This window comes from Homo sapiens, chromosome 15 (genome assembly GCF_000001405.40).
Source record: "Homo sapiens chromosome 15, GRCh38.p14 Primary Assembly".
Taxonomy (NCBI): domain Eukaryota; kingdom Metazoa; phylum Chordata; class Mammalia; order Primates; family Hominidae; genus Homo; species Homo sapiens.
The window spans coordinates 79,047,663-79,060,976 of NC_000015.10; the positions used below are offsets into that span (position 1 = coordinate 79,047,663).

Consider the following 13,314-nt stretch of genomic DNA (forward strand, 5'->3'; position numbering starts at 1 on the left):
TCAGTTGCCTTGGAGCTGGGCTGCTTGGAGTGGCCTCATGTTGGCAAGAACTTGGGAAAGGGCCTTGATTGACACACACACACAGAGTTGTTTTAAGCTGTACAGGCTTCCAATCAAGGGGCCTCTGAGCTGTGTGCAAGCTCACGGTCCACACTGGGAGGAAGGGTACTGGGATCAGGCAGAGGTGCTCATACAGTATTCTTCACTGAAAGGACCGCTGTCTCCAAACAGCAGGTACAGTTGTCCAGGGGCAGACCTGCTGGCTAGAGATGGGTGCCGTAGACAGAAGAGGCCTGCCCGAGGCCCAAGAGCTATCTCTGAAGATAGGAAGGGCTTTCTCAAAGAGGGAGGGGCTTACTCTGAGGCTCCAGGAGGGTGAAAATAGAGCGATGGGAGGTGGATTTCAGCTAGCCTTTAACAAAATGTTCCAACCAGAATGCTCCAAATACAGGGGTGAGCTGGGAAGCTCACTGGGGCTGTAGTAGAGAACACCGGTCAGGGCGTCTCTGCCCAGGTGGGACTTGACTCAGACCTGGGTGGCAAGTCCCAATGCCTGTGGGGCCCTGGCAGTTCCTAGAGGTGCGTGAGGCTAGCTGGGGGTGGGGGATGTCATAAGGTGGCACCTCTTGCCTGGGCTGGCTGCTGTTATGTGCAGGAGGTGGCCTGGGGCTGCTGGGCCTTCTGCTTTTTAAGGAGATGTTGTGTCCCGGCAGCATAGCCTCTGGAGCTTGGCCGCCAGGGTTTGAATGTTACTCTGTAAATACTTAGCTGTGTGACCTTGGGCAAGTTCCTTTGCCTCTCTGTGTCTCAGCTTCCCCATATGTAAAATGAAAATAATAAATAAACCTCAGAGGATTTTAGTGAGGATAGAATTAATCTGCATAAAGCTCTTAAAATAATGTCTGGCACATAAAAAGTAGTTAATTAATGTTAGCTATTTCTATTCTTGAGAAACCAGAAATCCAGATTTTTGTGTGATGTGTTTAGCTTTTAAAGCACTGGCAACAAATTTTTAAAAATGTAAACCAAAAAAAGCCCACTGTGTGGGATGAAAATCTCAAAATCTCAAACACACTGGTACGCTGAACTTGGCCCATGGGATGCCAGTTTGCAGTTTCTAGGGATGGCGTTGGGGTCCTTTCATGCACTCAACAAATAGGATTCCGTGGTTTCACCTGTTTTTCTTAGGGTGAGTCAGGCTCCCCTGTCTTGAGTCTGGCAAGCTACAAACACAGCCCACGCTCCTTCCCTCTGCCACACCACCACAGGGTGGCCCATGGTATGTCACTACCTGGCCACTGGGCAGATCCTTGGTAGCTTCTGAGATGTCTGTCCCTCCTGAACTCTAATAGGGTAAAAGCAGTGAGGTCTGAAAAAGGCTGGACTACCGTGCTGGGTCTGCTGGGGACTCAGGAGGTACTTGTGAGAGGTGGCGTGTACATGGCAGTGGGGGTGGCATGCCAGGGAGTGGCAGTGGAGAGGTGGCCCTGGGGGTCTTGGCAAGGTGAATGGCAATGCGAGGAAAGCAGTCAGCTGAGAGTCCCAGGCCTGGGTTTCTGTCCTGGCTTTCCCCACTCCTTCCTCTTGTGGAACCTGTTTTCTTATCTATAAAATGGGCTGAAGCACTCTGCCCCATAGGGACAACCAGAAGAAATGACTTGACAGGGTACCCTTCAGGGATAAGGGAGTGTGGGCTCTGTCTTTGGAGCTGAGGTTGGGGGATGGGGGGCACGCTCTGAGGACAGTGGGGCTGTGGTGTGGATACTGCCAACCCTGGGCTGGCTCTCTAAAGAGAGAGCTCCAAAGAAGGCCACCCAGAGGGATAGCACTGACCTTCTTAATTTTCTTGATGTCGCTGTCTTCATCGTTGGGGGCGACAGTCTGGGTGGACTGGATGCGCTCATTGTCCTTGAGCAGGGATGTGATCTGCAACAGCAACACAGGTCAGCCTGTGAGGGGCGCTGGCTCACAGAGGCCCCAGGTCTTTGGCCGGTGGGTGGCAGGAACAGGGTGGCAGCCGAGTGCCCTGCCTCTTCTTCCCCAAGAGCCATGATGCCACAGCTTGTGATTCTGACTCTGTGCATCCAGGTCATGGAACCAGACAGGCCCCAGACATCTGTGAGAAGCGCTGCACGGGGGATGGGTAGACACCTGGGTTCCAGGCCAGCTGGGCTGCCCAACCAGAGTGACCTTGGACGAAGCCCTTCTGCTCTCGGGGCTGTAGCCACCTCATTTGTAATCTCAGAATTTGGCCTAAATCTGTGGTTCTCCTCCCTACTCCCCAAACAACCGGTCCCTTTTTTTAAAAATAATTTTTGCTGTGATAAAACACATGTAACATATTAAAATTTACCATTTTAACAATTTTTAAGGGTATGGTTCAGTGGCATTAAGGACATTCACATTGTTGTGCAACCATCACCACCATTTACCTCCAGAACTCTTCATTTTGTAAAACTGAAACTCTGTACTCATCAAACAATAACTCTCCATTCCCCTTCCTCCCAGTCCCTGGCAACCACATTCCACCTTCTATGCCTCTGAATTGGACTCCTCTAGGTACCTCATCTAAGCGGAATCATGCACTATTTGTCTTTCTGTGACCGGCTTATTTCATGGTGCATAATGTCCTCAAGTTTCTTCCATGTTGCAGCGTGGGTCAATTTCCTTCCCTTTCAAGGCCAAGCAATATTCCCTTGTGTGTGTAGACCACATTTTATTTATCCATTCCCCCTTTGATGGGCATCTAGGTAATCCCTTTATTTTTCAAACAAAATTGTATCTGGATATAAATCAGATAGAGCAGGTGGCTCCGGGTGAAGTCCTGCTGGCTTGGCGCTTTCCTTCCTGGGCAGCCCCAAAGCACCTCTTAGAATCAGAGGCCTATTTCAATCATAACCTGGAAACTGCTGGCCTAGAAAAGTGGAGCAGCTCTTCAAATATCTAGCTGCTCTAAACATCTCCATTTGCATAATTTGGGGATCACAGATGTCGACATAGCTGCAAGAACAAAACCAAGGCATGGTGCCTAGGAGAAGGTACACCTTAAGCTGCACTGTGGCCAGGGGCCTCTGGGACTCATCCCATAGACAGGCCAGTGGTGTATCCTCCTGCGCAGGGCTCGTCCAACCACTCCAATTCTGTGAGTCCTTGTTTTGTGTCCTGTAGCAGGGTTCCCACAGCACCATGGACTTTCCTGTGAAAATGCTGGAATTGCTTGTCTACTCTTCTATCTTTGCCGTGAGCTCTAAGGGAGAAGGGATTGCAGCTGTTTCATTTATTGTGCTCCTGGTGCCTAGCGCAAGGTTGGGCACTCAACACATTCTTGTTGTCTACACAAATAAGTGAATTAAAAAAAATCAGAGCAACAGCAGCAACAAAAACATTAACCAAGGGAAAACACTGCAGTAATGAAGCCCCACATGTCTAAAGATAGTAGCTCAGGGGATTCTACGAACAAAGCCGCAAAGCCCAGTGCTGTTCTCTCTTGGGAACACATGGCTTTTGTCCCCTCAAGGCCACTTGCTGAACCACAGGATGAATGGGCGCTCATAATTGAGTGAATCAAGCACTTTGAAAGCAAAATGGAACAGTTACCCGCTCTCCACTCCCTGGTTGCTAAAATTACCGCAGCCTGTGATTGAAGAGTGGCTGAAAATATCTAACTGAGAAATAGTCAGTGTGGAGATGGGCTTTTCTCCCCACCCCCTCCCCCTTTTCGATCCTTTGAGAACATTTGCACATTGAAATGATGACTGATTCTTTGATCTGGACTCTAAAGGGCTAAGGAACACGCAAGCGTACACACACACACACCGCCTTTGGAGCCTGTTCAGTCAACACTTTTACCTTCGGCTTCTTCTCACCTCTGTGCCAGGATGCTTTCTTTGCCAGTTTTGGGATTTGCACATAGCACCCCTTTTCACTTTAGGATGGTGATATGTGTGTGTATGTGTGCTGGGCTTGGGGAAGTGGTCTGTGTTTAAAACTGATGGTGCTCTTCTCAGAGAGAGGCATTCCGGGACATCTACTCAACAGGGACTAGGGCAGAAAATAGATGCAATTAGGTCAGGCACCATCCTACATGCGCAGGCAACAAAAACTTTGGAGGCTTTATTTAAGGATCAAGCTAAGTGGGCAAAGCTCTGGAGGGTTGCAAGCCTGGGGACTGCAAAAGTCTTGAACTATGTCTAGTCTTGGCCCATTGCAACTAGGAGCCAATATCGGGATGGTGGTGGGAGCCCCAGGCCTAAAGGGCTCATGGAGGGCTCATGGAGGCAGCCTTTCCCTGACACTGGCAGGTGCCTCCTGGAAGTAGATTTTGCTTTGCACCCTGCTTTGTTTGGTTACATCCTGCCCCTACTTAGTTGACCCTCGTGAATTACAGCCATGGGGAACTGGACCTCTGGCTCACACCCTGACTCTGGCTGGCCGACTCCACACCTGGCTCCATGCCTGGTGTCTTGGCTGGCTCCTGCCCACCCACCACCCTCAGACTGGCTTTCTTTGCCCCCTAGAGGCAAACTGTCACTTGCTACACCTGCTTTGGGCACGGTGCAATGGCTCCTGCTCCACCCTACTCCCCTCTCTGGAGACACTTTCTTTAACCTGGAATGTGTTTAGTCAGTGCAGTAATGGGTGATGGAATTAATCCAGATCTTTTTCTCTTTGTTAGCAGCCAATGGTTTACTAAAGATTGCTGCATTGCTTGCTTTTCAAGCAGGTGCCACACAGCTCAGCTCTCTCTCCTGCCTCCCTGCTTCCCTCTGCCCCCATCCAAGCCCAACAGGTGCCCCCCATCTCTGTTTCCCTTTGTGCCAACCTTATCAGCATGCTCTGATGGTGTCTGTGTTGAGCACCATGCCAAGTGCCCCTTCCTTGGAGGAGCTCCCAGCCTAAGAAGGAGGTCAGGCATTCATAGAGGTGGCTTGCAATCCAACAAGGCCAGGCCAGAACAGAGCTGTGTACCCACTGCCATGGGAGAGCCTTGGCCAGGAAGTGGCAAGGCTCCCCAGGAAAGGTTTTGAAGGGCAAACAGGAGTCCAACAGTTGGTATATGTGGGGGAAGGAATTCAAATAGAAGGAATGATATGAACAAAGGCATGGGTGTGATAGAGTGTTGTGTGCCAGGGCAGCAGGTCTTGGGAATGGGGGATGGCAGGAGAGATGGGGAGCAGGGCCACAGCAGGGAGGGTGGCCATGGAGAGGGGGTGCTGGTGGGGAAGGACCAAGGCCACCCTCCCCTCCTTTCCCCAGAGCAGTCTTCTATCTATTTTGTATATTGGGGTTCCACATCAAAGTGTGTTTGCAAAACTGATTCTAGGCCAGTTGCAATGGCTCACACTTGTAATCCCAGGACTTTGGGAGGCTGAGGCAGGTGATCACCTGAGGTCTGGAGTTTGAGACCAGCCTGGCCAACATGGTGAAACCCCATCTTACTAATAACACAAAAATTAGCTGGGTGTGGTGGCGCACACCTGTAATACCAGCTAGTTGGGAGGCTGAGGCAGGAGAATTGCTTGAACCTGGGAGGCAGAGGTTGCAGTGAGCCGAGATTGTGCCATTGCGCTCCAGCCTGGGCGACAAGATCGAAAAAAAAAGAAAAACCAACCCAAAACTGATTCCAAGGCTAAGTCTTCATTTTGAACCTTAGGGTAAAGATCTCTGCAGTTCCCTCCACTGTCAGCCTTCTAGGATATGTGTGTTCCCGTTCCAATAAAATATTACAGCCACCTGCAAACTCCTATGCTGCCCTTTAGGGCCTGTCTTAGCTCTCCAAATTTACTTCCAATTGCAAATGGGAGAGAAATAGCTATTAAGAAAATGAAATCATGCCAAACTGAGCATTCTAGAGGAGGGGAGGAGTCTTCTCATAGGTAGATGTTCCCTTGTTTTAGATGGTTCCTTCATGGGGCTTTCTGGTAATGAAAGAGAAGTCCTGATAGGATTGTTTAGAAGGGAGAGAAGAGACTAAGTCAGCAGTGGATTGATTGTTTTACTTAGTAAAGTTACACGTGTGTCGGCATGATCTCCTGTTAACAGAGATGGCTGGGGTGGGTGCCACAGGATGGAGGGCACAGAGGGAGAAGAGACGGGCTGGCTTCATGGATGTGTGGCCTGCGCACTCGCACAGAGCCCCAGGCTTACAAGGGCCCAATGGTTGGTTTAAGCTTCTGCAGTTGCTGTCTCGAAGTTTTTAAAGGCCTCACATTTTCTTTTGTGCTTAGCCCTGCAAATTACAGAGCTGGTCATGAAAAAAGTTGCAGACAATGATATGATGGTACATTATAAACAGTAAAGCTCTCTGAAAGGAAAACTGACTTGTAGCATTTGCCAATTCCCATGATGTCAGCCCATTTCTAGCTCAGCCCATTTCAAGCTACCAAAGGTCAAATACCCAGCTAGCGAAATTCTTGAAAATCTAACAGTTGGCTCTTGCAAGCTGGCATGATAGAGTGTTGTGCAGATGGCCAATGGCCAATGGTAGAAGCAGGCTCTGGCACATCACTGGATGCAGGGGGAAGATCTTGGTAGGGAAAGAGGTTATGGACAACAACAAAAGTGGCACGTGGGAGTGTGAGGAGAGAAGTCAGTGTTTAAAGGGGAGGTTGGTGAAGGATGGTTGTGGCAGGAAAGGCTGAGTGACATGAGGGCAGAGGTGTTTTCTATTCATTTTTGAGCTGTTTTCTGTTTTAATAGTGGAGTGCCCCTCCATTCTGTTACATACAACAGCCTGTGTCGTGGGTTGTAGGGACTGAAGGAGGAGCCTCCTCTGAGTCGTTGTTGGGACTTTTGCAGATACTCTGGTTCTCTCTCTTCTTGGAAATGGTGGGATTGTATTTCCCAGATCCTCTGAAGTTGGGCACAGTCACGTGACTTGCTTTGTCCAATGTGATGTGAGCAGTGTGCCATGTGCCTTTCCCCAGCCCAGCCATATGACTGGTGAATTTCTTGATGGCAGAAGCCTCCTTGGCTTGTGTCTCAATCACTGGAGGATTTTGGGGAGCAGAGTCTTCAGCAGAACTCTCAATGGACACACAGAGTCAGTAATCAACCTCTGTTGTTTTAAGACATTCAGATTTGGAGGGTGTTACTGCAGCATAATCTAGCCTATTCTGACAGATACAGGTAGTGACCACACAAGGGGAAAGCAGCAGTGAAGACTGAGTGGAGGAAGCCATGAGAAGTGCAGTGATAGATCAGGAGAGTGGAGTTTGAAAGCAAGAGGTGGCCAGGGAAACCCCTGGGAATCCTCAGGAATATGTGGGATGGGGCCTGAGGAAGCTTATTTGGCCATCAGAAGAGAGGTGGACTATGAGAGTGTAGGGCCATCCAGGCAACACTGTCATTCCTGAATATGTACTCTGTTATCAAGGTCCTCTCCTCAGCAGGGAGGAGAAGGCTGTGGTGGGGCAGGCTCAGGCCAAGGATTTCAGCCAGGAGATCCAGTGGTGGAGGCGAGAGACTTTGGGTAAGTCGCTTCCTCCCCATGGATCTTGGTGTCTTCAGAGTCCTGCTGGCTCCAATAGTCTAAGACCCTGGGCCTTCCTCACTGGTGGCACTCATCACTCACATGGCTTTTCAGTGTGTCCTGCCCACCTGGTGGCCACTCCTCAAGAATGAGCTCTGTTTCCATTCTCCTAGAGCCCACTCAGAGCCAGCAACTACCCTCTGACCTGCAGGACGTGTTTGTGCATATGTGTATGTGTGTGTGTATATCAGGGGGACAGAGAGAGAAACAGAGAGAGAGAGAGACAGAGAGAGACCAAGAGAGACACTATGGCCAGAAAGCTTTCCCAAGATGGTCCTTCTTTCAAAGTCTTCTTTAAAAATATCTTGCCCTAATACACTCAATTGGAAGCATTGCTCCGAAAATTCCCATCAAATGGGTCTCTGCTGCCATTTTGAGACACACACACACACACACACACTCTCTCACTCAGTCATGACTGACCTGCTTTCTGCTCCCCAACACCACAGGGGGCTCTGCCCTTTGCACCTACACCCCTTCTCTGACCTACAATGCCCTGACACCATTTAAGGCCACGTGCAACATAAACCCACACCTCCCAGGCTATCAAACAACCAATTTCCTGACTTGGGTTCACAGCGCAAGCCCTACTATGGCACTGAAGACACTCTACCACAATCAGACCCAAAGGCAGAAACTGTCATCTCTTTAATGCTTCCCACCGAGCCTGACAACCGTCCACTCATCAAGCCCTTGCTGAGTACCTACTGTGTGCCAGGCCAAAAGAAGGAGTGATAAGCGACACAGCCCGTCCTTATGGAGTTCCTGCCAGGCCTGTTGGGGTGACAGGCACACATGGAGCCTGCTCTCACATGGTGAGCTGAGTGTGGGAAAGCCATGGGAGCAGACAGCAGGGAGCACCCTCTGAGGCAGGGGTCCCCCAGGGTGAGGCGTTTGAGCTTGGTAGGATGTCACCAGGTAGGATGCGTGGGGATGAAAAGGGCATTCCAAACAGAAGCACCAGCATGTGCAAAGGCCAGGAGGCGGATAGTGCACTGGTGCCCACAGTGACTGAAGAGGTGGTGCTTGGGGAAAAGGATGAGGTCAGTGGTAGGTGATCTTCAGTGAGTGAGTAAGTGAATGAATGAATGACACTTGGACACTCTTGATCATGAAGCTAATAATCTGGTACTGGGGCTGGACTCCTTCCCTGATCCCATACAGGAGTTCAGTTTAGATTTAGCAATCTGTGTTGGGCGAGGATTGATCCCAGAATGAACTGGGTGGGCCGGAGTGGGGACATCCCTGAACTGAGCTCTGGTAGCCCTGTGGGAAGAGGCTACCAGAGTAGAGTGGAAAGACTGGCAAGCAGACAGGAGACCTGGGTTCCAGTCTCAGCTCTGCCACTTCCCAGCTGTGTGAGCTTGGGCAAGTGACTTGGGCTCTCTGAGTCTGGTTTCTCCTGTGAAATGCAGGTGACTGATCCTATCAGGATGGTTGTGGGGAATGAAAGTATGTCGTGAAGGTGCCTGTTATCAGGCTAGCAGAGATGTGTAGAATCTGGAATTTTTGTTGACCTTGAGGTTGCAAGTTGATATTACTCTTAGTTCAGGGCTTGGCTGCTGCGGAACAAGGTGAAATTGTTGGCTTTAGATCTTTGAACATTCCAGGCAGAGCTGGATTCGCAGGTGTGATGGGGCCCTATGCTCAGAAGGCTCTGCATTCGGGACTTTAAGCTCTTTTGTTGAAATTCTTAAGATAGTTTTCTCTTTGAATTGTGTTTAGTGAGTGGAATTTGATGGGACCATGAGCACACTGCAGGTTCTTGGAGCCTTGGTTCATGCATGTTCCTACCTCCCACCGCTTTTTCAGCTCCTTGGATGGGTCCTTGGCTGCTTATTCCCCACACTCTGGCATCCCAGACCCCAAGACCTCTGCTACCATCTGCTCAGGGAGCAACCGGTTGAGTCAGCTGAGGAGACTCACAGTCCACCATCACCCCCAACCCTCAGCAGATGCCTGGGCATAGGTGCAGGCTGGGGTCCAGTGTGCGCCCCATGGTGTCGCAGGGCAAGGCGACAGCCATCCCTGCTGCAGGCTGGCAGTGCCAGGGTGCATTACGTGGGTGACTCAGAAGGAGCTCCTTGCCCACCCCAGTCCAGCTACTGCGCACTTCCTGGCAGTCAGGGCAGGGGAGGCTACAGGTTGAGGTTGGGTGCTGCCTGTCTGCCATGAGTCAAGTCAGGAGGCTGTGGGACAGGAGAATGACTTCCCTGGCCTGGGCCTTGCATTTTCACCTCACATCAGACCCTGCAAATTAGATACCCAGCTGACTTCAGGAGTCTTTGTTTTCATTTTCCCCTCCTCAGTGCAAAATCTGTGGTCCTTGTATGATATGGCCAGATGGTTCTGAGCATGCTGGTGAGGTGATAAGGGGAAGAGATGATCAGATCATTCTGTGCCAGGGTTGATAGCTGGTGAGGGGCATCTAAGGGACTAAGAGCTAGTGCTTCCTAAGGTTTAATGTAAATGGAATCACCTGGGCTGTTAAACTGTAGATTCCAATTCAGAAGATCTGGGGTGGGGCCTGAGATTCTGCTCCAGGTGAAACCAATGCTGCTGCTTCATGGACCACACTTGGGGAAGCCAGGTGCAAAGAGGCTTAGTCTGGCAACAATGCCGCCTCCAGAATGCTGGCTGGTGGGCCGCTGCAGGAGCTTTCATCAAGATGGATGGAGGGAAGGGGCTGCCTTGGAGTTGAGCAGAAGCCCACACTCTAATGACCTACCAGTGACCCTGCGCTCTCCAGAGTCTTGGGCTAATAATGCAGAATGCTCAGTCAATACAGTGGCTGACACAGTAACTAGGAGCTTGCCCGTAGATAATCTCACTCAATCCTCACGACCTGGTCAGGTGTTTATAGAAAGCCCTGTTTTACAGCTGCAGAAACTGAGGCACAGGCACATTGAGGGACTTGTTCCAGGTTGCAGTCAATAAGTGACAGAGGTGAGATTTAAACCCAGTCTGACCACAGGACCTTCTCATTCTGCCAGTACCACCACGTCCTAAGTTTGGAGTCTGGAAGAACTGCATCTGGGAGCTGCTTTCCCTGCCTGTCATGTGGCTCCCCAATCCTGCAGGAGCCCAGGGTTTGAGATGTTGTGCCTAGGGCCTGGGCCCACCCCCCAGCCCGCAGTCACCTCTGCCTTCAGCCGCTCGATCTCGATCTCCCCATCCTCGATCTGCTGCCGAAGCTGCTTGGCCACGGTCTTCTCTGTCTCCACGATCTGCAGCAGGTGCAGGTATTTCTGCATTAATGCCTCATGCTCTGTGGCGAGGGTCCTGTAGCTGTGGACAGATGGACATGGCAGGTAAGATGCTGACTCCTTGTCCTCTGGCGAACCAAGCAGGGCACTGACCGGGAGAGGGGCTCACCCACCCACCTGCACTTAGCAGAAGGCCCTGACTCCCAGCACCCTGCAGAGTGAGAGGGCTTGGCAGGGTAGAGGTGGGGGCAGTCCAGGCAGGGAGAGAGCTGGAGCAAGGCGGGGCGGTGGGCCCGAGTGCGAGCCTGATCCAGAAAGCACATCTGTGTTCTTGTTCCCACCCACTTTTAAAGATAAATAACAGGGCTAGAAGAGAGAATCCTTTAGTTTATAATGCTATCCTATTAAAGTATAATAAGATTTTGTGCTTCTGTGATGAAAATGAATATCAGGTTTTTAAGTTTTTCCAACTTCTCAAGAGACTTGTTTTTCCTTGTAAAGGAAATTCAGTTGAGAGCATGAAGGAGTCTGTTTTTGTACCACCACAACTCCCCTCACCCCATGGGTGTGAAAATTCAGCTGCTTCGTTAGTCTCTTCTTACTAATGGACCCCGTCAGAGTGCTGTAAAATAGGCGTCCGCCTCATCTGCAGGCTGCTCTGCTAACCTCCCTCCCTCCTTCTGTCCCTCTTCCAACCCTCCCTCCATCCTCCTCTCCTTTCCTTTCCTCTCCTTCCTCCTTTCTTTTCCCTTCCCTATCCTTCCCTTCCCTTCCCTATCCTTCCCTTCCCTTTCCTTCCCTATCTTTCCCTTCCCTTCCCTATCCTTCCCTTCCCTTCCCTTCCCTTCCCTATCCTTCCCTTCCCTTCCCTTCCCTATCCTTCCCTTCCCTTCCCTATCCTTCCCTTCCCTTCCCTATCCTTCCCTTCCCTTCCCTATCCTTCCCTTCCTTTCCCTATCCTTCCCTTCCCAATCCTTCCCTTCCCTTCCCTTCCCTTCCCTTCCCTTCCCTTCCCTTCCCTTCCCTATCCTCCCTTATCCTTCCCTATCCTTCTATCCCCCCTCGTGCAGGTGCAATCTTTACAGACTCACAGACTCTCAGAGTGAGAAGGGAACTTGGGGATCACAAAAGACCAATTATCTCATTTCACAAATGAAGAAACTGAGGTCCAAATCACAGTCCATGAGCGTCAAAGCTGGAGCTAGAGTCGGGCTCCAGCCCCTGACCATGCATTTGTGCCCCCTTTAGTGGTTTTGTCTTCTGGTTTGGTATACAGTTCTCTCCCCTGAAACGTACACTGTAAAATGCACTTGATGTTGCATTTTATACCTTGCTGTATATAAACACACACCCCCCACAGAGGCATCCCATAATACCAGAATATTATACATACAGCGCGAGAGAACATTGTGTCTCTACATGATATTAATACACTCCAGTGCCTTTTTTCGTACATAGGAAGTATCTATTATGTATATGTAAATAAAAACTAAATTGGGAATATGTAAAAATACTTAATACTCAATATGGCTGTGGAAGACAGCCAGTGTCTCCACTGATACACTCACACACACACACACACAGACACACAGACACACACACACACACACACACACACACACACACACACACGGTGTCTGAGGTTCAGTGATGCTTACAGTTATAGTGTCCGCCTCTGGTCTTATGGCCAACTCCCTAGATAGTAGATAAGTGGTACAATGATAGCTCCTATTGTCCCAAGCACTGCTCAACAAGCCTCAGCTCAGCCAGGATGGCTGATGATGATGTTGACTATTCTAAGGAAGGTGCCTCGATTTCCCTTTCTGCGACCATCACTGTATCACTCCCCACCCCCCAGGTTGAATGGGAGACATTCCTGGGAGGCCAGTGGGCTGACCCAGACCCCAGGGCTTGACAAAGGAAGAAGGCAAACAATCAGCATGTCCCATCATTCCACCATTGTCCCATTGACACGTGCTGCTGGCTTCCAAAAGGATGATGCATATGGAGAGGTTTTTGTTCACAGGTAGGTGGTATTGATCACCAGCTGCTCCTTTATTGAGGAGGAAGGCTTCTAGTTTGTGTTGAATCTGCATTACCTGGCAGTTGCAGAGCCCTAAGCTGGGAGCCAGGATCTGGGACTCCACCACCCCCGCTCAGGCACCCATGTCCTGTGTGACATTGGGTCACACGTCTGTCAAATGGGCTGAAGGGACCCCTCCCTGGGTTATCATAAGCACATGATGAACTGTGAGAGCTGGACAGACTGTAGAGCAGACAGACACCCTCAGATGCAGAACATTCTGTCAGGCTCTGGAGGCCCAGACAGGCTTGGCAACATTGATGTCAATTGGATTATTATTATTTTATTGGCTTCTTAGAGCCAGTCTTTAATTTAGTGAATTGCTTGAAAAATTATCCTGTCCATGGTAGGCAGGAGAGGTGTGCATGGCCTGCCTGGCATGCACCGTTGCACAGTTGCCCTGCAGGGCTTCTTCTCCTGTCACCGGCTTGTGTCAATGTGGCTCAGTTGACCTTAAGGCAGGGAGATTGTCTTGGTGGTTGTGATCCAATTGA

At 50.3% G+C, this 13,314-nt stretch overlaps 1 protein-coding gene across 7 annotated transcripts in view; it reads right to left on the reverse strand.

Moving 5' to 3' along the window:
- The window catches only part of RASGRF1 (Ras protein specific guanine nucleotide releasing factor 1), a 130,875-nt gene that overhangs the window by 87,757 nt on the left and 29,804 nt on the right, over window positions 1–13,314 (reverse strand). For all 7 annotated transcript variants that reach the window (NM_001145648.3, XM_017022456.3, XM_017022455.3 and 4 more), the window contains exons 3-4: window positions 10,672–10,819; window positions 1,834–1,926 (exon numbers count right to left, since the gene is read on the reverse strand). In NM_001145648.3, the coding sequence (NP_001139120.1) occupies window positions 1,834–1,926; window positions 10,672–10,819 (241 nt within the window). The remainder of the gene's footprint in view (window positions 1–1,833; window positions 1,927–10,671; window positions 10,820–13,314) is intronic.